Genomic DNA, 22446 nt, shown 5'->3' with positions numbered 1-22446 from the left:
TTGGCCATCTTTTCTCCCTGCCCCCATTCTGAAACAATAAAGAGTATAGTATTTTCATTGCTTTAGAGACCATGTCTGAAAAAATACATATCCATTGTTACCCTTTTGTTTTGGTTTGGTTTTAATAGAGACAGGGCCTCACCATGTTGCCCAGGCTAGTCTCGAACTCCTGAGCGCAAGTGATCCACCCACCTCGGCCTCCCAAAGTGGTGAGGTTACGGGCTTGAGCCACTATGCCTGGCCATGGTTACCCTTTATATATCTCAGGACCCCTCTGGAAGGTAGGACAGAGAAGCCTTCCTGAGACCTCACTAATTTCTTCTTCCAAAACCATGCATAGATCCCAAGGCTGTCTGGTGGCAAAAGCCATCGAGGCTGCCACAAGAGGCAGGAACGGTTTATGCCAAGATGAGCTTAGTGGGGCACTTTGGAACTATGGCTAATCTCTAGCTGCCATTTTCTGACCAGATAGTGCTCATCTTTCAGTACAGTGGGTAGGTGTAGTAGTGTCCATACTTGCTTGCCAGAGAGTCTCCTTGGAGAATAATTGCAAACTCTTCACCAAAGCAAAGGAAGGGAAGAGCACTGTTGTGAGATGCGTTGCATCTTTTTGTTTTTCACAGTTCCACGAGGTAGATACCATTATCCCTAGATCAGAGGTCAAGTATCTTGAGTTGGGTTTGTTTTTTCTGGTACCATTGTGGGGAAGAGAAGTTTTGGCTGCTAATTACATTTGTCACACTTGAAAGCATGAAATCAAAATCCTATGTCTATTAAATATAGAGAGAGAGTAATTATTTGCTGTTATTTACAAGTTTAACTTATGAATGACAATCTTAAGCAGTATTCTTGTCTGTTGCACATTGACAAAGTTATTAAGTTTTATTTTTGATATTAAGTACTCTGGAACTCATGGAATTCCTTAAGGCCAGTTATGTAATGTATCCTTAAGAAATCCTTGGTTTATAGTAAATGAGCTGTATTTCTTTTTTTTTTTTTTTTTTTTTGAGCTGTATTTAACTTCTTCCCTGAGAAATTTATGGTAGTAGGAGATGTGGTGATTAATAACATTATGCAAAATAGATTTCCAAACCAATGAAATCTCAGCTTAAAACTTGGATCTGCTGAAACTAAAATGAGCTGCTCAGATACTGGCTCTAAGCACAGGCATCTAATTGACCTTGAATTTGAATCCTGGTCCGCCCTCTTGCGAGCTTTATGTTCTTGAGTAAGGTTCTTAACCTTCCTAGGTCTCAATTTTCTCATCTGCACATCAAGGATGACACCTAATTCATAGGGCTATAAGGATAAATCATGCCTCTAAAGAACTACCGAACCCATAGCAAGCACATGATAATATGGTAGCTGTCATCAGTAACATTACAGTACAATTGGGTAGAGAGGATTCATAAGTTCCATCCCCAAAAATATTTTTAAATTATTCAAGGCATAAAAAAATTAAAATTATTCAATGGCATATAATAATTATTTTACCAAGCCAGGCACGATGGTTCACGCCTGTAATCCCCACACTTTGGGAGGCCAAGGCAGGTGAGTCACGAGGTCAGGAGTTTGAGACCAGCCTGGCCAATATGGTAAAACCCCGTCTCTACTAAAAATACAAAAATTAGCCAAGCCTGGTGGGGTACGCCTGTAGTCCCAGCTACTCGGGAGGCTGAGGCAGGGAGAATCGCTTGAACCGGGGAGGCAGAGGTTGCAGTGAGCCGAGATTGCGCCACTGCACTCCAGCCTGGGTGACAGAGCAAGACTCAGTCTCAAAAAATAATAATTATTATTTTACCCTAGTGAATTTGGTACACTTGTTTAAGTACCTAACTCAGAGTAATTAAGATTCTAGGAAGAACATAGCCTCCATATTCTTAAATGTCAACTACTGTGTGGTTGGAGCACGTCACCATTGGCTAATTTGAAATCTCTGGCACCTAGGTGGCCTTAGCCTAAGAAGTAGGAGGCTGTTGGACCACTATGACCAATATCATGAAAGCTGCACCTTCTTTCGCCTACCTGGCTCCAGTATGTTGTGTTAGCAATTAGTTGGATACAGCGGAAGCTATTGATCAGGGTTGATCTGAAAAGCAGCAGCAGAATTAGGACATGTCAACAAAACGAAAGTGGTTATTCCACATTATTGTGAGTTCTGTGTGAGATCAAGAGGTTATTAAAATTCAAAACCTGGCTGAGCACAGTGCTCACACCTGTAATCCCAGCACTTTGGGAGGCTAAGGTGGGTGGATAACTTGAGGTCAGGAGTTCGAGACCAGCCTGAGTAACATAGTGAAACCCCATCTCTACTAAAAATACAAAAAATTAGCTGGGCATGGTGGTAATCCCAGCTACTCGGGAGGCTGAGACATGAGAATCACTTGAACCCAGGAGGCAGAGGTTGCAGTGAGCCCAGATCATCCCACTGTACTATAGCCTGGGCGATAGAGCAAGAGTCAGTCTCAAAAAAAAAAAAGTCATTATAAAGATATCTACTTTGATGCTCTGAATTTATTTTTAGACATGTTAACAGTCTTCATCAATGTTCATGTTCTGTACTTTCAGATCCCATTTTTTTCCAAGACTCTTTCAGCTTGTATCTACTTGATGTGACATTTTGAGTAGAGACTTCTCTTTCTCTCTCCTTTTTCTTTCTCCTCTGTTTTCTGCCTCTTCTGTAATTTGTCAGTGTAGATGATTGTATACAGCTTAAATTCCTGATAATTAAGACGCTTTGGTTAGGGTGGGGGGGAAAGAAAAATTATTTCAGGAAAAACTTCATACTTTGTTTCAGATGATAGGATTATATTCATTTCTATTTTAAAAACTTGGAAAATTAAAGACACTCAGTAATTGGGACATAATTATAGTCCGATTGTAGTCGAGTACCCAGGAATAGAGAGTCTATTGTAGATGCTAAAGGAACAAGGGCCACTTTTATTTTTTTGAGACGGAGTCTCTCTCTGTCGCCCAGGCCGGAGTGCAGTGGCGCTATCTCGGCTCACTGCAACTCCACCTCCCAGGTTCAAGTGATACCCCTGCCTCAGCCTCCTGAGTAGCTGGGATTACAGATGCACACCACCACGCCCAGCTAATTTTTGTATTTTTAGTAGAGATGGGGTTTCATCACGTTGGTCAGGCTGGTCTCAAACTCCTGACCTCATGACCCGCCTGCCTCGGCCTCCCAAAGTGCTGGGATTACAGGCGTGAGACACTGTGCCTGGCCTTTTTTTTTTTTGAGACGGGGTCTCACTTGGTCACCCAGGCTGGAGGGCAGTGGCGTGATCTCAGCTCACTGCAACCTCCGCCTCCCGGGTTCAAGGGATTCTCCCATCTCAGCCTCCCGAGTAACTGGGCTTACAAGCGTGTGCCACCACGCCTGGCTAATTCTTGTATTTTTAGTAGAGACAGGGTTTCACCATGTTGGCCAGGCTGATCTTGAACTCCTGGCCTCAAGTTATCCACCCACCCCAGCCTCCCAAAATGTTGGGATTACAGTCATGAGCCATGGTGCCCAGCACAAAGGTCACTTTCTTCCATTAGGTTGGTAGAAAAGGCAAAAGTAATTGCGGCTTTTGCCATTACTTTCTTTTTTTTTTTTTTTTTTTTTTTTGAGATGAAGTCTCACTCTGTCGCCCAGGCAGTGGCATGATCTCGGCTCACTGCAAGCTCCGCCTCCTAGGTTCACACCATTCTCCTGCCTTAGCCTCCCGAGTAGCTGGGACCACAGGCACCTGCCACCATGCCCAGCTAGTTTTTTTGTATTTTTAGTAGAGATGGGGTTTCACCGTGTTAGCCAAGATGGTCTCGATCTCCTGTCCTCGTGATCTGCCCACCTCGGCCTCCCAAAGTCCTGGGATTACAGGTATGAGCCACCGCGCCCAACCCCAGCCTGCCAACTTTCAATGGCAAAAACCGCAATTACTTTTTTCACCGATCATTACCATGTGAAGTCCAGAGGCTTCAGGCTGGCATCTAAGGTTGTTCACAGTGTGATCATTGTTTTCAACCTTAGCTGCCACTTGTTTCCCCAATGTGGATTTCCTCTTTAAATAGGCAGAATTCACTGTCTTCACCATAGCTTTCTCTTAGGAATTTTTTTTGAGACAGGATCTCACTATGTTGCCCGGGCTGGCCTGGAACTCCTGGGCTCAAGCGATCCTCCCTTCTCAGCCTCCCAGGGAGCTGGGACTACAGGTGCGCACCACAGTGCTCAGCCTTTAGGATTATGCTCACATGCTCCCATTCATCATATAATCTCTTCCTGTTTAATTCAAATCTACAAACTCTTCCCCCAACACTAAACTACTGTCATATTATATTTCCTCCAAAGTATAATTTTGTATCCATATTATATGATGTAGCATTTTTTGTTTGTTTGTTTGTTTGTTTGTTTTTTAAGATGGAGTCTCCCTGTGTCACCCAGGCTGGAGTGCAATGGTGTGATCATGACTGACTGCAACCTCCGCCTCCCGGATTCAAGTGATTCTTCTGCCTCAGCCTCCCAAGTAGCTGGGATTACAGGCACCTGCCACCACGCCTGGCTAATTTTTGTTGTTGTTGTTGTTTTTAAGTCGGAGTTTCCCTCTTGTTGCCCAGGCTGGAGTACAATGGCATGATTTAGCTCACTGTAACCTCCACCTCCCAGGTTCAAGCGATTCTCCTGCCTCAGCCTCCCAAGTATGTGGGATTACAGGCATGTGCCACTGCGCCTGGCTGATTTTGTATTTTTAGTAGGGACAGGGTTTCTCCGTATTGGTCAGGCTGGTCTCAAATTCCCAGCCTCAGGTGATCCACCCACCTCGGCCTCCCAAAATTCTGGCATTATAGGCGTGAGCCACCACGCCTGGCCAATTTTTGTATTTTTGCATTTTTAGTAGAGACAGGGTTTCACAATGTTAGCCAGGCTAGTCTCAAACTCCTGTCCTCAGGTGATCTTCCTGCCTCAGCCTCCCAAAGTCCTGGGATTACAGGCATGAGCCCCCGAGCCTGGCCATGATACAGCAGTTAGTCCACCCTTTCTCTTCAAGATCCCATAAGTCTCTTAAGTTTTTTTCTGATCCTTGTGCCATGCAATGTGCTTATTTGAGTAGGTTTTTCCCTCCCTCCTCCTCTCCCATCTCTCCTATATGTAGTAGGACATTTTTCTCTGCTTTTGGGAAGAGACTGCCACACACATGCCACATTTTGGATCTGTACTTACATTGTCACCTGTAATGTCAAAGTCACGGAAGAGATCTTTGAGTTCCTGTTTTTGAATATTGAAGAGAAATCTGTACATTTCGAAGTTTTTTGCACCAATTCTCAGATCCCCTTTCAGGTCAAGCAGGTCAAAGACAGGCCGGGAATGACGATACATAAACTGTCCTTCCAAATGGTTCTATTGCGAGAGAAATAGGTGAGATGAGCAACAGTGTTGTCGATGCTGCTTTCTAAACTTGTTTCCTCAAGACATATCTTCACCAGCCCCTTCCCTAGAGAGCTAAAAGCAAAAGAGAAAATCAGAAGCTCAGGGCTGAAAGGGTTCTATCAGCAAATGCAGCAAGTCCCACTTCAGCATCTGCATTCAAAAGGAACTTGAATTCTGCCTCTTGTAATAATCAATTCTGCTAGACGGAACCCTAGTTACTATAATGCATTTCCTTACCTTCAGTGAAAGTCTTGTGAAACATCATGGCGTGGGTGATAAAACGATGACCTCCTTCCCTCAAAAAAATGGGAACTGAGGCGGGGTGTGGTGGCTCACACCTATAATCCCAGCACTTTGGGAGGCTCGAGGTGGGTGGATCACTTGAGGTCAGGAGTTTGAGACCAGCCTGGCCAACATGGTGAAACCCCATCTCTACTAAAAATACAGAAATTAGCCAGGTGTGGGGGTGTGCACCTGTAGTCCCAGCTACTTGATCTATTGAACCCAGATGGTGGAGGTTGCAGTGAGCTGAGATCGCGCCATTGCACTCCAGCCTGGGCCACAGATTGAGACTCAGTCTCAAAAAAAAAAAAAAAAAAAAAAGGAAACTGGGTAAGTACATACTGGAAATGTATATACGGTAAGAAAAGACCTCAGAAGGTTCTCTGAGGAAAAGGATCATTGAAGGAGTGAGGCATTTGAGCTAACTGGTGATTCTCTGAAAATCACCAGCTAGAGCAAGTGAGGAAAGGAATGCCAAGAAGGGATGCGATGGGCCACATCTGTCCTTTACGAGGGTGGGCAGAGTAGGAGGGCGGCCAAGAGGCTGGGGCTGCCTCAGGGAGAAGCTGTTGAAAAACCTGAACCATTCGGGAACCAAAACTCATTTTCCCCACCACCCATCTTTTCTTCCTCTTTTTAGTGAAAGGAGGAAAACTTCTGATGCATTCCTAATTCAGTGCTCCCATTAGCAAGAGGATGGCAGCAGCCGCGCGGCTACTTGCCTGGTGGGCCAGCAGCATGCACACCAGCATGTAGAACTTCTCAAAGTCGATCTCGCCCACAGCGTTCCAGTCCAGCATGTCAAACACAATGTTGATCTGTGCCTTTTTCAAGTCAGTCACATGATGAAGGAAGTGATAGAACAGCACATCTGTTAAGGTGGGCAGGTGAGGAGATGTGTTATTTGGATATAGTTCCAAAATGCTAAACAGCTAGAAGCCATGTAAATGGTAGTGATGTTGGAAGCTTATTGATCTAGGAAGAATGATGATAATATTTTGTTTCTGGCTTTGCCACTGTACTTTCTATAGTTCCTGAAACCTTCGTCGCCCTTGAGCTTGTGGAAAAGCACTGGACCTGGAGTTGTGGAGAATGAGATCGTGGACAGGGCTTGGCTCCTGCCCCCAGCTCACACACTCCATGGAGCAGACAGATATGTACACAGCACTGATAAAAGGCAAGGCGCTAACATATAAAATGGGCACAAAGTGCTCCTTATGTATGAAAGGAGAGCTTAATTCTCACTGGGGACTGAGAACACTTTCTTGGAGATGCTGACATTTTTCCTTTGCCTTTCCCTTGAGATAATTAAAATGAGGAATACAAAATCATTCCCCTTCGGCCAGGCACAGTAGCTCATGCCTGTAATCCCAGCAGTTTGGGAGGCCAAGGCGGGCAAATCACGAGGTCAGGAGTTTGAGACCAGCCTAGCCAATATGGTGAAACCCTGTCTCTACTAAAAATACAAAAATTAGCCAGGCGTGGTGGCACACACCTGTAGTCCCAGCTACTTGGAAGGCTGAGGCAGAGAATTGCTTGAACCCGGGAGGCGGAGGTTGCAGTGAGCCAAGATCGTGCTGCTGCACTCCAGCCTGGGCGACAGACCAAGACTCCGTCTCAAAAACAACAACAACAAAAGTCATTCCCCGTCTATAAACGCCTTGATGTGCCTCATGCTTGTATAAAGCAAATGCATCTGGCTGTAGGGGGAAGGGACCAAACCTTATTTACCACCTTATGTGTTAGGCACTTTATTTTTTATTTATTTTTTGGCTGGAGTGCAATGGCACATTCACAGCTCACTGCAGACTCAACCTCCCAGGCTCAAATGATCCTCCCACCCCAGCCTCCCAAGTAGCTGGGACCACAGGTGCATGCCACCATGTCCAGGTAATTTTTTAATTTTTTGTAGAGATGGGGTCTCCTTATGTTGCCCAGACTCGTCTCGAACTCCTGGGCTCAAGCAATCCACCTGCCTCTGCCTCCCAAACTGCTGAGATTATAGGTGTGAGCCAGTGCACCCAGCCATGTTAGGCACTTTAAATGCCACATTTCACTAAATCCTGACAACCCTACAGAGAAAGTGGCATCATGCTGAGAGGTGAAGTCAGCTGGACTTCCTGGGTCGAGTGGGGACTTGGAGAACTTTTCTGTCTTGCAAGAGGATTTTAAAAACACACAATCAGCACTCTGTGTCTAGCTAAAGAATTGTAAATGCACGAATCAGCACTCTGTAAAAACACACCAATGAGTGCTCTAGGTCTAGCTAAAGGATTGTAAATGCACCAATCAGCACTCTGTGTCTAACTAAAGGATTGTAAATGCAGCAATCAGCACTCTGTAAAATGGAGCAATCAGCACTCTGTTAAATGGACCAATCAGCAGGACGTGGGCAGGGACAAATAAGGGAATAAAAGCTGGCCACCCCAGGCAGCAGCGGCAACCTGCTTGGGTCCCCTTTCATGCTGTAGGAGCTTTGTTCTTTTACTCTTCACAATAAATCTTGATGCTGCTTACTCTTTGGGTCTGTGCCACCTTTAAGAGCTGTAACACTCACCGCGAGGGTCTGTGGCTTTATCTTGAAGTCAGGGAGACCACGAACCCACCAGAAGGAACCAACACCAGACACAATACCCTTTATAGTAAGTCTCAGATATCAATTAGTCTATATTAGCATTTCTCAAACTGTAATGGGGATACCAGTCACTTGAGGGATATTATAAAACTACAGATTCTGATTCAAGAAATCTGGCATGGAACTTGAGACTGCCCATTTCTCCAAGCTCCTAGGTGATGTGGCTGTGGCTAATCTGAGGACCACACATTGAGCAGCAAAGGTGTGCCTCACGTTGGGCGCGGTGGCTCATGCCTGTAATCCTAGCACTTTGGGAGGCTGAGGCAGGCGGATTACCTGAGGTCACGAGTTCGAGATCAGCCTGACCAACATGGAGAAAACCCGTCTCTACTAAAAATACAAAATTAGCTGGGCATGGTGGCGCATGCCTGTAATCCCAGCTACTCGGGAGGCTGAGGCAGGAGAATTGTTTGAACCCGGGAGGCAGAGGTTGTGGTGAGCCAAGATTGTGCCATTGCACTCCAGCCTGGGCAACAAAAGTGAAACTCTGTTTAAAAAAAAAAAAAAAAAGTTGTGCCTCACATAGCAAGTGGCAGAGCTGGGGTTCGAGTGTGGATTTCCCTCACCGTGGTGTTTTTTTCCATGGTGAAACTCTATCTTTTGTGCATTAGTTAATGCATATTTAATCATACACATTCAGAAGAAAAAATACTGAAAAACTCTTTAAAGAACTGGGAAGTTTTTTGTTGTTTTCTTTTTTGTTGTTTTCATTTTCAAGATCTTGTTGCAAACCAAGTACAGAGAAGTTTTTTGCCTGCCACTCATTAATCATGAATAAAATATGAAAAAAACAAGCATGGCAATACACTTACACAGTGGTGTGTGGCTGTCTACAGTTGTATGTACAAATTACAGTAACAAGGGATTTTTACGTTTATCTACATGTGTTTCCCCTTACTCACTGATGACAGAAACTCTCTCCTGCATAAGAAATGGCTCCAGTGGGCAGGTGCGGTGGGTCACACCTGTAATCCCAACACTTTGGGAGGCCGAGGCAGGAGGATGACCTGAGGTCACGAGTTCAAGACCAGCCTGACCAACATGGAGAAACCTCGTCTCTACTAAAAATACAAAATTAGCCGGACGTAGTGGTGCATGCCTGTAATCCCAGCTACTAGGGAGGAGAATCGCTTGAACCCAGGAGGCGGAGGTTACAGTGAGCCAAGATGGCGCCACTGCACTCCAGCCTGAGCAACAAGAGTGAAACTCCGTCTCAAAAAAAAAAAAAAGAAATGTCTCCACTGAATAGGTAAAACGTATCTGTGTAATGTGGAGTCCCAGCTGAAGCCAGCTAAAAGCACAGCAAATTAGTAGTCACAATGTCATGATTTGGGGGCTTCTGACCGCCTCTTGATGTTCCTTCTCCACGCCTCTCTGGATATGAGCACCTGGAAACAACACACCATATATATGCACAGTGATGTTTGTGTAGTTGCTGCTTGAGAAATGTTTCCATGTGCAACTTAGTAATTACTTAACAAAGACTGTTTTGAGGCCGGGTGTGATAGCTCACGCCTGTAATCCCAGCACTTTGGGAGGCTGAGGTGGGCGGATCACTTGAGGTCAGGAGTTCGAGACTAGCCTGGCCAACAGAGACTAGCCTGGCCAACATAGTGAAACCCCGCCCGTCTTTACTAAGAATACAGAAATTAGCGGGTGTGGTGGTGCACAGCTGTAGTCCCAGCTACTCAGGAGGCTGAGGCAGGAGAATCACTTGAACCCGGGAGGTGGAGGTTGCAATGAGCCAAGATTGGGCCACTGCACTTCTGGGCGACAGAGCGAGACTCCGTCCCAATAAATAAATAAATAAATAAATAAAAGACTGTTTTGAAACCGGTGGACTCTGGCTCACCCAAGTCTCCAAAACCTTAAGTCATTCCCCCACAGGAAGGCAAACATTAAGGCTGTGCCTTCACCCTTCCAGGTCACTCTCCAGTCCCTCTGTGACCAGAAGACATGAGCATGGCGTTACCTCCTGGGTACTGCATCAGCAGGGAGGTTACCAGGGAGCTTAAACTCCTCAAGCATCCCAGAGAGACTCAGCATGGGCTTTGCAGGCAGAGAGCCCTGCGTTTCCATCTCAGCCTTTTATTTACAACTAGGTCCCCTGCAGCTGCCTTATCTAGGGCAGGGTTATTGCGAAGATTTGGCAATGCACTGTACATAAATCTCTATGTAAAGAGAGAAAGAAGGTGTTCTTTTTTAATTGTTTTTAAAAATTGAATGAACTCCTTAAAATCATGACGGAGGAACCCCTTACTCACGGATGACATTTCTCTCTCTGAGGTCAGAACGAGTGAATGGATAGGATACCTTATTTCTACTCAGTCCTAAAAATAACCTCAAGTGTTTAATTGGACTTCTATTAGTTTGTGAACTCAACAAGCATGGCTGAGATCTGCAGCTTTTATATTTATTTATTTATTTATTTATTTTTATTTATTTATTTATTTATTTATTTATTTTTGGTCATTCACAAGTACCAATAAGTAGAAGGGATCCTGCAGCTCATCAGATTCAAACTTCCCACATGACAGATAAATCTTGCTGAGGGGTCTCCAGAGTTAATGCCTGAGTGGGGCTCAGCTCCCAAGAATAATAATTACAATAATAACAAACACTTATTAAGTCCTTACGATGTGTCAGACACTGTGCTAAGCATTTGCCATACTCTCATTATCTTTTTTTTTTCCAACTATGAGATGGACTCCATTATGAGAAGCCTCACCTCTAGATGAGGAAAATGAGACTTAGAGAGGGCGATGACGTGTTATCCACATCACCAAGGAATAATGGGTGTGGAGCCAGGATTCCACCAGAGTCTGCAATTTTCTCCTCCCGGCTGAACTGTCCCCCGTGTCAATTCTGAGTTGGCAACTTCTCTCTGTGCTTCAACTAGAAGATAAAATATTTACTAACAGGCCGGGTGTGGTAGCTCACACTTGTAATCCCAGTACTTAGGGAGGCGGAGGCGGGTGGATCACCTGATGTCAGGAGTTTGAGACCAGCCTGGCCAACATGGTCTGGTCATCTCTACCGAAAATACAAAAAATTAGCCAGGCGTGGTGGCAGACACCTGTAATCCCAGCTACTCAGGAGGCTGAGGCAGGAGAATTGCTTGAACCCTGGAGGCGGAGATTGCAGTGAGCTGAGATCGCGCCATCGTACTCCAGCCTGGGCAATAGAGCGAGATTCCGTCTCAAAAAAAAAAAAATGTACTAACAAAATAGTTTCTGGCTCTGCAAGTTTTCTTACACATTAGCTAAAACCCAGGTAAGGACCCAGAGGAGACATGTCTGAAAGTACTGACCATTCAAGGTGTTCTTGCCGTGCACGTCCAGAATATGAAAATATTCTGCCAAAGCCTTCACGTTTCTCACGGATAATAAGCAGTATATTTTGTCCAGATAGAGGTACCACAGAAACGATCCTTGCTTCAGTCTCATCTTAGTACTGTGTCAACTGAAGGCTCTGGCAACCAGAAATAGAATACAGAACCCTGCCTCAGAAGTAGAATGTTGGATATAGTGTCTGAGATCTGGCAGCAGTGAAGGTAAACACGTCAGAGGAAACAGTCAAAAATTAAAATTGCTGCTTCTTAATTTTTCCAGCTATGCTATAGATAGATATCTGCTGTCCGAAACCTCTTGGTAACGTGATTATCCTTATGTCACTAAAATACAATCAGTTCTAAAGGAGATCCACAGGCTGTTCAGAAATGAATGAGAGAATGTGCTACATAGGAAAACTGCTACACAGCCCAAGTGGTTTTCAGAGCATTTATAGCCTAAATCATTTATTAGAAAGAAGAAAAATTGAAAAACACATGGAAAAGTACTAAAAGAGCCTAGAATAACTACAGTATAATAATGCCAAAGAGAGGAAGTTTTTCTTTTTTCTTTTCTTTTTTTTAATTGAGACAAGAGTCTTGCCTTGTCACCCAGGCTGGAGTGCAGTGGCGCGAGCTCTGCTCACTGCAAGCTCCGCCTCCCGGGTTCACGCCATTCTCCTGCCTCAGCCTCCTGAGTATCTGGGACTACAGGCGACAGGCGCCCACCAACACGCCCGGCTAATTTTGTGTATTTTTAGTAAAGACGGGGTTTCACCACGTTAGCCAGGATGGTCTTCATCTCCTGACCTTGTGATCCGCCCGTCTTGGCCTCCCAAAGTGCTGGGATTACAGGTCTGAACCATTGAGCCCTGCCTCTTTTTTTTCTTTTTTTGAGACAGAGTTTCACTCTTATCATCCAGGCTGGACTATAATGGCACAGTCTTGACTCACGGCAACCTCTGTCTTCTGGATTCAAGCGAATCTCCTGCCTCAGCCTCCCGAGTATCTGGAATTACAGGCATGCACCCCCACGCCCAGCTAAATTTTTGTTTTTATTTTTTATTTTTTATTTTATTTTATTTTTATTATTATTATTTTTTGAGATGGAGTCTCGCTCTGTCTCCCAGGCTGGAGTGCAGTGGCGCGATCTCGGCTCACTGCAAGCTCCACCTCCCAGGTTCACACCATTCTCCTGCCTCAGCCTCCCCAGCAGCTGGGACTACAGGCACACTCCGCCACTCCCGGCTAATTTTTGTATTTTTAGTAGACACGGGTTTCACCGTGTTAGCCAAGATGGTCTTCATCTCCTGACCTTGTGATCCGCCTGCCTCGGCCTCCCAAAGTGCTGAGATTACAGGCGTGAGCCACTGCACCCAGCCCAATTTTTGTATTTTTAGTAGAGATGAGGTTTAACCATGTTGGCCAGGGTGGTCTTGATGCCTGCCCTCAAGTGATCCACCCGCCTTGGCCTCACAAAGTGCTGGGAGTACGGGTATGAGCCACTGTGCCCTGACATTAATTTTTTTTTTCTTTTTTCTTTTTTTTTTTTTTGAGACAGGATCTCACTCTGTCTCCTAGGCTGGAGTGCAGTGGTATGGTCATACCTCACTGCAGCCTTGAATCCCAGGCTCAAGCTATCCTCCCACCTCCACCTCCTCATAGCTGGGACTATGCCCATGTGCTACCACGTTGTATTTTTTGTAGAGATAGGATCTTGCTACATTGCCAAGGCTGGTCTTGAACTCCTGGCCTCAAGCTATCCTCCCACCACAGCCTTCCAAAGTGTTGGGATTACAGGTGTGAGCCATGGTGCCCAGCCCCTCCTCTGTCTTAATTTTCTACTCCCTACTCACTCCCAAATAAACCACTTACACTCAAATCCTTGCCTCAGGGTCAGTCTCTAAGGGAATCCAACCTAAGAATACTATAAAATGCTTTTTCTGTGACTATTAAGACTATGTGATTTTTCTCCTTTACTCTGCCAATGCAGTGCTATTACAGTAGATTTTCTGATGTAGAACCATTCTTTTATTCCTGGATAAACCTTTTGTGGTTACGATATTTTTATTCACCTCTGGTTTGATCTTGCTAGCATTTGTATTTTCCCTGTCTTTTTAAGAACTGAAATTAGGCCGGGCGTGATGGCTCACACATGTAATCCCAGTACTTTGGGAGGCTGAGGCGGGCGGATCACGAGGTCAAGAGATTGAGACCATCCTGGCCAACATGGTGAAACCTCATCTCCACTAAAAATACAAAAATTAGCCGGGCGTGGTGGCACGTTCCTGTAGTCCCAGCTACTTGGGAGGCTGAAGCGGGAGAATCGCTTGAATCTGGGAGGTGGAGGTTGCAGTGAGGTGAGATCACACCATTGCACTCCAGCCTGGCGACACAGCAAGACTCTCTCTGTCAAAAAAAAAAAAAAAAAAAAATGAAATGAAATTAGTCTACAATTTTCTTTCTCTCTCTCTCTTTCCTCTCCTTCCCTTCCTTTTTAAGACAGGGTCTCACTGGAGACCAGGCTGGTGCAGCGGTGAGATCACTGTTCACTGCAGCCTCGGCCTCCTGGGCTCAAGGAATCCTCCTGCCTCAACCTCCTGAGTAGCTGGGACCACTGGTGTGCACCACCACGCCTGGCTAATTTTTTGACTTTTTGTAGAAACAGGGTCTCACTTTATAGCTCTGGCTGGTATGGAACTCCTGGGCTCAAGTGATCCTCCCACCTCAGCCTCCCAAAGTGCTGGAATTACAGGTGTAAGCCACTGTGCCTGGCTTACAATTTTCTTTTACTGTCCTTATCTAGTAATAGTAAAACTCATCTTATAAAATAAATTGGCAGATTTCCTTCATTTTCTATCTTTTAAAATAATTTATATAAAGAAAGAAATTATTTGTAAAACCACACAGACTGATGTCTTTCACCAAGAACAAGCTTTTGATTCTTGATTTTTGTGGTTGTTGTTTTTTGGGTTTTTGTTTGTTTGTTTTTGTTTAGAGACAGAGTCTCACTGTGTTGCCCAGGCTCGAGTGCAGTGGTGTGATCTCGGCTCACTGCAACCTCCGTCTCCTAGGTTGAAGGGATTCTTGTGCCTGAGTCTCATGAGTAGTTGGGACCACAGGCACGCACCACCACACCCGACTAATTTTTGTATTTTTAGTAGAGACAGAGTTTCACCATGTTGCCCAGGCTGGTCTCGAACTCCTGACCTCAGGTGATTCACCCGCCTCAGCCTCCCAACGTGCTGGGATTACAGGCATGAGCCACTGTGCCCGGCCTGATTCTTGATTTGATTTCTTTATTGGTTACTAGTTTATTTAGGTTTTTATTTCTTATTGAAATTATCTTTTACCTATCATTTATATTTTCTTCTCAATAATTACCCATTTTATGTAAATTAAAACATTTATTCACATAAATTTGTCTAAAATATCACTTTATGATTATCAAAATTTCTACAGTATCTAATCTGATGTTCTCTTTTCATTTTTTATTTCTTCCAGTGAATATTTCTTTCTTGCACCAATTTTTTTTTTTTCTTTTCTTTTTTTTTTTGAGACGGAGTCTTGCTCTGTTGCTCAGGCTAGATGGAGTGCAATGGTACGATCTCGGCTCACTGCAACCTCCATCTTCTGGGTTCAAGTGATTCTTCTGCCTCAGCCTCCCAAGTAGCTTGGGTTACAGGCGTGCACCACCCCGCCCGGCTAAGTTTTGTATTTTTCGTAGAGCTGGGGTTTTGCCATGTTGGCCAGGCTGGTCTTGAACTCCTAACCTCAGGTGATCCACCCAGCTTGGCCTCCCAAAATGCTGGGATTACAGGTGTGAGCCACCGTGCCCGACCCTTTTTTTCTTTTTCTTTGACTAGTCTTGTCTATTAGTTATTTCAAAGAAGTAGCTTTGATTCTATTGAACCTCAATGTATTTCTTACAATGCTATTGAGGTATAATTTACACATAAAATTCATCCATTTACAAAAATGAAAGTTTAAAATTCAATTATTTTTGGCAAATTTACCAAATTATGAAATTGTCACCATTGTGCAGTTTTAGGACATTTTCATCACCCCAATTAGACTGTTTATTGTTCATGTACAGTTAATTCCCATTTCACACCCAGCTCCAGGCAACCATTAATCTACTTTCTGTCTGTATGGATTTGCCTTTTCCAGACATTTCATATAAATGGAAATTTATAGAACACAGGGCCTTTTGTGTCTGGCTTCTTTGACTTAGTGTTATTGAATGAATGAACCTCTCCGTTTTTCTTTCCCTTCCTTCCTCCCTCCCTCCCTTCCTTCCTTCCCTCCCTCCCTCCCTCTTTCTCTCTCCTTCTCTTCCTTTCCTTTTTCTTTCTCTCTTTCTTCCTTTCCTTTCCCTTTCTCTTTCTTTCTTTCTCTCTTTCTCTCTTTCCTTTCTCTCTTTCTTCCTTTCCTTTCCCTTTCTCTTTCTTTCTTTCTCTCTTTCTCTCTTTCCTTTCTCTCTCTCTTTCTCTCGCTTGCTTGCTTTTCTGGAGCTCTCAGAGCTGGTCAGAGCCCTCCAGGCCTACAGCTTTCGTGGAGTCAGAGCCTTCATCTCCTAGTATGGAAGCAACCCTCTTGGTCTCCCCACCCGCTTCGTACAGTTGGCCAAATGGTCTGAAACAAATGAAAGACCTGCCTTTCAGCATGTTTTGGGAGGTTCAGACAGCGCCTGACTCAATGAGAACGGTCAGCGACGAGCGGCGTTTCCTTCTTTTAAAGACCCTCTACAATTCCAGGCACTCCTGCAGCTGTGGAAACATTCCGAACGGCTTAGCAACCAGGACACCCTCTGCGCCGACCACTACCAGCATCGCAGGCTTCTTGAGCTGGCTTTCCCAGTGGAAAACCATGCTTGGTGTTTGCACACTGTTCAAAGGATGTTTTCGAACAAAGCACCGAGGAAGGGGCGAAAACACCTCAACACAGCCGTTCTCTGGGGTTGGAGCTATTGAACTGTGACATTTGCGAAGACTCAACTTGTTTATGACACGGTCCAAATAATAACCCTTGCAGACTGCCCGCCCCCCCCCCCCACCCCCAGCACTCTCCTTAGATTCAGGTAAAAGCATGTTATAACCGTCTATAGGACAAACAGGCAACAGTAGCAGTGAAGTGACTCAAGTAGCCAGGATCGAGAATGAAGGTGCTCAAAGAAGACTTTAGTTTGATCTGTATGTAGTGCGCTCATCTTTTTTGAAACTAGGAAATTAAAAATTAGAATAAAGTTTTTATTTAATATGCAAATACATCCGCAAACCCATCAGGAAACATAAGAGAAATCAGTGCCAAAGGAGCTCTTTCTCCCAGCCCTCTAATCCTGGCAGGTTTGTGGATCGTGGACGGGGAGCCCCTGGAAAGGACCGCGCCGGGAAGCCGGGCCCTGCAGGGACTGGCCGCGGCTGCACCGGCGTTGCCCGTCGCACACTAGGAGGCAGCACCGCGCCGAGGAACCCGCAGCAGACGGGCAGCCAGCGTGTGTGCCTGGGGCGAGTGCCCTCGCCTGCCGGCGTCCCCATCGGAAAAGTGGGGGCGAGGGCAGCCTAGCGGAATAGCTGCGGGAGGATTAAATGAACGAGTGCAGGTTCACCTTCTGGGCGCTGACAACGATCCGTGGGCTCTCGCGAAATGCCAAGTCGCCGTCCCGCTTGCTCCCATAAAAGTTTTGGGAGCCACGCGGCGCGGCGGGCGGGCTCCTGAGTCCATGAGCGGTCCCACCGAGCGGTCCCCGAAGCTTCCCCAAAGCCCAGCCCGCGGCTCGCGGAGCGTGGTGTGGGGGGACTACAGTTTCCAGAGTGCCCTGCGGCGACGGGCGGAGCCGGGGAGCGCCCGCAGCCAATTAGGGGGTCCCGGGGCTCTGCCGGGGAGCGGCGGGTGGAGCCGGGCCGGTGGGCGGGCGCGGGGACGGTCCCCTGGAACGGGTCCGAGGCTCTCGCAGGCAGGGCTGGGCCGGGCAGGAGCTGCGAGGCCGGCACAAGGGAGGCGGCCCTGGGGACCTGACAGGGCGGGGGCGGGGGCGGGCACGCCGCCGCCTGCGCGGTTCCGGGTGCTCCCGGCGCGGCGCTGCCCAGGGCACACTTGACCGAGGTCGGGCTGCGGGGAAAGGCGGGTCTGGGGAGAACCCCGAGAGACGCGGCGTCCTCCAACTCCTCCTCCTTCTCCTCGCGGCCGCCGAAGCCACAGCCCGAGCCCGAGCCCGAGCCCGAGCCGGCGCCACCGCGCCCCCGGCCATGGCTTTTGCCAATTTCCGCCGCATCCTGCGCCTGTCTACCTTCGAGAAGAGAAAGTCCCGCGAATATGAGCACGTCCGCCGCGACCTGGACCCCAACGAGGTGTGGGAGATCGTGGGCGAGCTGGGCGACGGCGCCTTCGGCAAGGTTTACAAGGTGAGGGCGCTGAGGTGGGTGGCCGGACGCGCGTCGAGGGGCTCCGGAAGGAAGGGATGCCTGAGCCGGACCCGGCCAGCCTGGCTCCGGCTCCGAGGGCTGCCCGGCGCTGAATTCGGGGTCCCTGGCCCTCATCCCGATGACTCTTGTTTTTTGGGGGGAACATCACTCGGCCCGGCCGAGTCCCTGCGCTCTGGGCGCCCCCTCCGGGCACGGTTGCCGCCCCCACCCTAGCCCTGTTTCGGAGCACTTCCTGTGTGTCCTGCACTGCGCTCGGCGCCGCACGGGGAGACAAAGGGGCGTTGACAGGACCTCAGCATCCGAGAGGGCCACTCGAGGGACCTTCCAGGGACGTTCCGTAAAACGGCGATACGGGCACACTTTTTTTTTTAAGAGAGACCACAGATGCTGTGGGAATATCGAGGCGATGTGGACCGAGAAACTCGGCTGCGCTTGGACGGGTTGGGAGCTAGGGACACATCTGAAGATGAGCCAGAGACAGGGAAGTGGGGTGGGCGAGGGGTGGCCCATGGACTGAGAGGTGGGGCTTGGAAAGGTGGGTTGGGGCTGGTCAGAGGGGGAGGTCAGGATCTGGTGAATGCTGAGCCTGGGGGAACAGATTTGATTCCGTCGGTCTGAGTCACAGCTGGGGAGTCTCCCAGCCTGCAGTCACCTCTCCCCTAGAGGAAGACGCGGCAGAGAGCTTTTGTGGAGTGGGTGGGGCAGAGCTGATTGAGTCTAGAGAAGTGTGGCAGCAGGACGTTGGTTTCTGCTCCTGGGAGCTAATTCTGAGGTGGTGAGTTGTTTTAGGGAGCCAACACCTACAGCTTGACTCCCCCCTTTCCCCTAAGAAAATTTTTACTGGGAGACGCCCACTTGTTAAATTGGTGTATACCTCCAGGAGAGCACCTCTCTTCTAAGCCACTATCCTCCTCCTTGGGGCTCCTGTAGCTTGTAGGGCACTCTGACCCTAGGATTGCCGTTCTATGAGGCTGGACCACAGAGAAGGCTTCTCCAGGCCTTCTCCTCTGACTTGGAAGTGGTCTATCGCCTAGTTACCGAAGTAGTTCCTAGATGACCGGTGTTATAATAGCATCATTTGGGAGCTTGTCAGAAGTGAACAATCTCATGCCCAGCCCCGACCTGCTGAATTAGAGTCTACGTTTTAATAAGATCCCAGGTGATTCCTAAGCAAATAGGTTTGAGAAGTACTGCCCTAGAGGCTTGGAGTGGTGGCGTTTTTTCTTTTTTCTTTTCTTTTTTTTGAGACAGGGTTTCCCTCTGTTGCTCAGTCTGGAGTGCAGTGGCCCGATCTCGGCTCACTGCAACCTCTGCCTCCTGGGCTCAAGCAATTCTCCTGCCTCAGCCTTCGGAGTAGCTAGGTCTACAGGTGCACACCACAGCCCGGCTAATTTTTGTATTTTTTGTAGACTTGGGGTTTCGCCACGTAGCCCAGGCTTGTCATGAACTCCTGAGCTCATGAAATCAGCTCGTTTCAGCCTCCCAAAGTGTTGGGATTACAGCGGTGAGCCACCCTGCCTGACCTGGAGCGGTGGCAATTTTGAGACCAACCAGGCCCACTCAGTGTCTTTTTTTATTTTTATTTTTTGTGAGACGGAGTCTCACTCTATTGCCCAAGCTGGAGTGCGGTGGTTTGATCTCGGCCCTCACTGCAACCTCCACTTCCTGGGTTCAAGCAATTCTCCTACCTCAGCCTCCCAAGTAGCTGGGATTGCAGGCACACACCACCATGCCTGGCTAATTTTTGTTTTTTTAGTAGAGACGGGGTTTCACCATGTTGTCTAAGCTGGTCTCGAACTCCTGACCTCAGTTGATCCACCCACCTCGGCCTCCCAAAGTGTTGGGATTACAGGCGTGAGCCACTGTGCCTGGCCTGGTGCCTGTTTTGTTTCCTTGCCACCTCCCCTCTGAGCCCACACTTCCTGTTATGGGGTAGGGAGAGGTCTTGTGATCCGAGAGGCAGTGCTTTTGGACTGCCCCGACTTGCTGTCCTCCTTTGCCTGAGGGCCTTGCCCATATTTGAGGGCAGCCAGCTCACCCTGTCCTCAGCACGTCTTTTCTTTACTCTCCTCAGAGCTGCATCTTCTTCCTGGTGGCACCAGAGAACGATCCTCAGCCTTGCAACTGTCTCTGGACACTGCCAGTGTCCTTGACTGCCTTAGACAGAGCCTGCTCCTGCAGCTGTGCTCTGACTACTGTGAGGGCAGCTGGACCCCTGTGGTCAGCTCACCACAGGACCCACTTTCTCCAGAAGGTTCAGTTGGTGTTTTTAGCGTATGCTAAACATATGGGTTTTTTGGGCCGGGCGTGGTGGCTCACGCCTGTAATCCTAGCACTTTGGGAGGCTGAAGCAGGCAGATCATGAGGTCAGGAAATTCAGACCATACTGGCCAACATGGTGAAACCCTGTCTCTACTAAAAATACAGAAATTAGCCGGGCATGGTGATGCATGCCCGTAATCCCAGCGTCTCAGGAGGCTGAGGCAAGAGAAACGTTTGAACCAGGGAGGTGGAGGGTGCAGTGAGCTGAGATAGCGCCACTGCACTCCAGCCTGGCGACAGAGCGAGACTCTGTCTCAAAAACAAAACAAAACAAAACAAACATATGGGCTTTTTTTTTTCTCCGTTAGGGGCTTTCAATTGCATTCTTGTCCCCTTCCCCGCAGTGTGTCCTGGCTTCACAGGGTTCATCTTCCTTTAAACTTAAACGCAGAACTTTGCTTTCATGCTGGTAAGATTTCCCCTTGTCATTTTCAGTTGTGTTTCCTCCTGCTTTAGTCCCTTAAGACTCCCCTGCTACTCTGAAAGTTTCATACAAAGGAACTCATCCGATCCACAATCGATACTGTCTCCTCTTGGTTCTCCAAAGCACGTGGAAAGTCAGTTTTTAAAAAAGTGACTCCAGGGCCAGGTGCTGTGGCTCACGCCTGTAATCCTAGCACTTCAGGAGGCCGAGGCGGGTGGATCACTTGAGGTTAGGAGTTTGAGACCAGCTGGGGCAACATGGTGAAACCCCACCTCTACTAAAAATAAAAAAATAAAAAAATTAGCCGGGTGTGGTGGCGCGTGCCCTATAATCCCAGCTACTCGGGAGGCTGAGGCAGGAGAATTGCTTGAACCCGTGAGGCGGAGGTTGCTGTGGGCTGAGATCATGCCGCTGCACTCGAGTCTGGGGGACAGAGGGAGACTCTGTCTCAAAAACAACAACAATAAAAACAAAAAGTGACTTTAATTCTCAAAGTTGTGAGCTGTCTCCACCACAGCCCTCTCCGCCTACCTCCGAATCCACCATTTTCTCTTAATTAAGGGTGAGCCAGACCAAGAGAGCTGTGTGATTGCTGATAGACCTGAACAATCTATTACCTACTTGGCCTTAGCATGTACCCCTCTGACCTAAGCCAACCCCATATGTCCCGGTGCCCAGAGAAGAGAAGGGACTAGAATCCAGGGCTCTGGGCTTCAGTTGAACACTTTTTCCTTAGTCACCAGCTAAGGAAGACCCATCCTGGATCAGAGATCCCTGTCACCCAGGCTGCCTACTCGAGAGGTGCTGTTTACTCACCCCTCCTGCCTGAAGTCGAAGTAGGTATTGCTTTTACTAAAGACCCCTCTAATCAAGGACCACGACTCCTGCCCACTTGGTTTTCCCTGGCCTGGTTACTGAAGTAACCCAAACCAAAAATTCCATCTTGGTGTTATGGCTGGAACCAGAGATTCCATTTTGACACGGCACCTGAGAAAGCAATTGGCAGGGAGCTGAGGAGGGACTGCCAGTAGCACTGTTTTTCTTCTGACAGCCTAAGTGTCGAAGGCTTCCTGAGGTCTTTCTGGGCCTTGGAAGTCTGAGTTTGTCACAGTGTCAGGAGAGGACTCTGACTCCAGATTTCCTGAGGAGTCTTCACAGGAGCAGTCTCCGAGATATCAAACCTCTTTTTTTCCTCCTCTCCCTGATAAGCCTTAATGTGTCTGCCTCAGGAGAAAAAGAGGAGGATAGGATTGATTTTGTGCAAAGTCAAGCTCATTCTCACTCAATGCCTATGTGAATGCAAATTGATTTCAAAAGAAAACCAGTCCTACAAATTGGTTTCAAAAGAAAACCATTCCTAGTTAATTACTAGAATACAAAGTAGACTGTAATCCCAGCACTTTGGGAGGCCGAGGCTGGTGGATCACTTGACGTCAGGAGTTCAAGACCAGCCTGGCCAACATGGTAAAACCCCATCTCTACTAAAAATACAAAAAATTAGCTGGGCGTGGTGGCGCATGCCTGTAAGCCTGTAATCCCAGCTACTAGGAGGCCGAGGCAGGAGAACTGCTTGAACCTGGAAGGCAGAGGTTGCAGAGAGCAGAGATTGTGCACTCC

General features: G+C 47.5%; 2 protein-coding genes across 4 annotated transcripts in view, besides 9 other annotated features; one reads left to right on the top strand and one right to left on the bottom strand.

The window, feature by feature from the left end:
- Positions 1-2494: 2494 nt before the first annotated feature.
- EFCAB9 (EF-hand calcium binding domain 9) lies at positions 2495-11777 on the bottom strand. Its single transcript, NM_001171183.2, has 4 exons — positions 11641-11777; positions 6418-6566; positions 5207-5383; positions 2495-2735 (listed from the first exon to the last, which is right to left on the bottom strand). Exons 1-4 carry the CDS (start codon positions 11774-11776, stop codon positions 2604-2606), a joined length of 594 nt encoding a protein of 197 aa, NP_001164654.1. The 5' UTR covers position 11777; the 3' UTR covers positions 2495-2603.
- Positions 16965-17740: an enhancer, noted in NCBI's record as "H3K27ac hESC enhancer chr5:171615213-171615988 (GRCh37/hg19 assembly coordinates)". NCBI's record gives its function as "activates a minimal SCP1, AML or CMV promoter by ChIP-STARR-seq in primed H9 embryonic stem cells {active_cell/tissue: H9 hESC(primed)}" and the evidence as "EXISTENCE:reporter gene assay evidence [ECO:0000049][PMID:30033119]".
- Positions 16965-17772: a biological region, named in NCBI's record as "H3K27ac hESC enhancer GRCh37_chr5:171615213-171615988".
- Positions 17413-17772: a silencer, noted in NCBI's record as "silent region_16619". NCBI's record gives its function as "represses an Ori minimal core promoter by ATAC-STARR-seq in GM12878 lymphoblastoid cells {active_cell/tissue: GM12878}" and the evidence as "EXISTENCE:reporter gene assay evidence [ECO:0000049][PMID:35858748]".
- Positions 17725-22446, top strand: part of STK10 (serine/threonine kinase 10) — a 146146-nt gene continuing 141424 nt past the window's right edge. For all 3 annotated transcript variants that reach the window (XM_047417629.1, XM_047417628.1, NM_005990.4), the window contains exon 1: positions 17725-18062. In XM_047417629.1, coding sequence (XP_047273585.1) covers positions 17907-18062 — 156 coding nt within the window. In that variant the 5' untranslated portion in view covers positions 17725-17906. The remainder of the gene's footprint in view (positions 18063-22446) is intronic.
- Positions 18073-18122: a silencer, noted in NCBI's record as "silent region_16618". NCBI's record gives its function as "represses an Ori minimal core promoter by ATAC-STARR-seq in GM12878 lymphoblastoid cells {active_cell/tissue: GM12878}" and the evidence as "EXISTENCE:reporter gene assay evidence [ECO:0000049][PMID:35858748]".
- Positions 18253-18332: a silencer, noted in NCBI's record as "silent region_16617". NCBI's record gives its function as "represses an Ori minimal core promoter by ATAC-STARR-seq in GM12878 lymphoblastoid cells {active_cell/tissue: GM12878}" and the evidence as "EXISTENCE:reporter gene assay evidence [ECO:0000049][PMID:35858748]".
- Positions 18793-18872: an enhancer, noted in NCBI's record as "active region_23629". NCBI's record gives its function as "activates an Ori minimal core promoter by ATAC-STARR-seq in GM12878 lymphoblastoid cells {active_cell/tissue: GM12878}" and the evidence as "EXISTENCE:reporter gene assay evidence [ECO:0000049][PMID:35858748]".
- Positions 19533-19582: an enhancer, noted in NCBI's record as "active region_23628". NCBI's record gives its function as "activates an Ori minimal core promoter by ATAC-STARR-seq in GM12878 lymphoblastoid cells {active_cell/tissue: GM12878}" and the evidence as "EXISTENCE:reporter gene assay evidence [ECO:0000049][PMID:35858748]".
- Positions 19853-19902: an enhancer, noted in NCBI's record as "active region_23627". NCBI's record gives its function as "activates an Ori minimal core promoter by ATAC-STARR-seq in GM12878 lymphoblastoid cells {active_cell/tissue: GM12878}" and the evidence as "EXISTENCE:reporter gene assay evidence [ECO:0000049][PMID:35858748]".
- Positions 20943-20992: an enhancer, noted in NCBI's record as "active region_23626". NCBI's record gives its function as "activates an Ori minimal core promoter by ATAC-STARR-seq in GM12878 lymphoblastoid cells {active_cell/tissue: GM12878}" and the evidence as "EXISTENCE:reporter gene assay evidence [ECO:0000049][PMID:35858748]".

Source organism: Homo sapiens, chromosome 5, assembly GCF_000001405.40.
Source record: "Homo sapiens chromosome 5, GRCh38.p14 Primary Assembly".
Lineage (NCBI taxonomy): Eukaryota > Metazoa > Chordata > Mammalia > Primates > Hominidae > Homo > Homo sapiens.
Note: the sequence above shows the minus strand (reverse complement) of the source record. Positions and strands in the feature narration are given on the sequence as shown.

What these genes read in the sequence shown, in the direction of transcription:
- EFCAB9 (NM_001171183.2), bottom strand. Translation starts at nt 11,776, where the DNA reads ATGAGACTGAAGCAAGGATCGTTTCTGTGGTACCTCTATCTGGACAAA. An exon ending in CGGCAAGAACACCTTGAATG is followed by an intron (nt 6,567 to 11,640) that starts GTCAGTACTTTC and finishes CCACCTTAACAG; the next exon opens with ATGTGCTGTTCTATCACTTC. An exon ending in GCATGCTGCTGGCCCACCAG is followed by an intron (nt 5,384 to 6,417) that starts GCAAGTAGCCGC and finishes CTCTCGCAATAG; the next exon opens with AACCATTTGGAAGGACAGTT.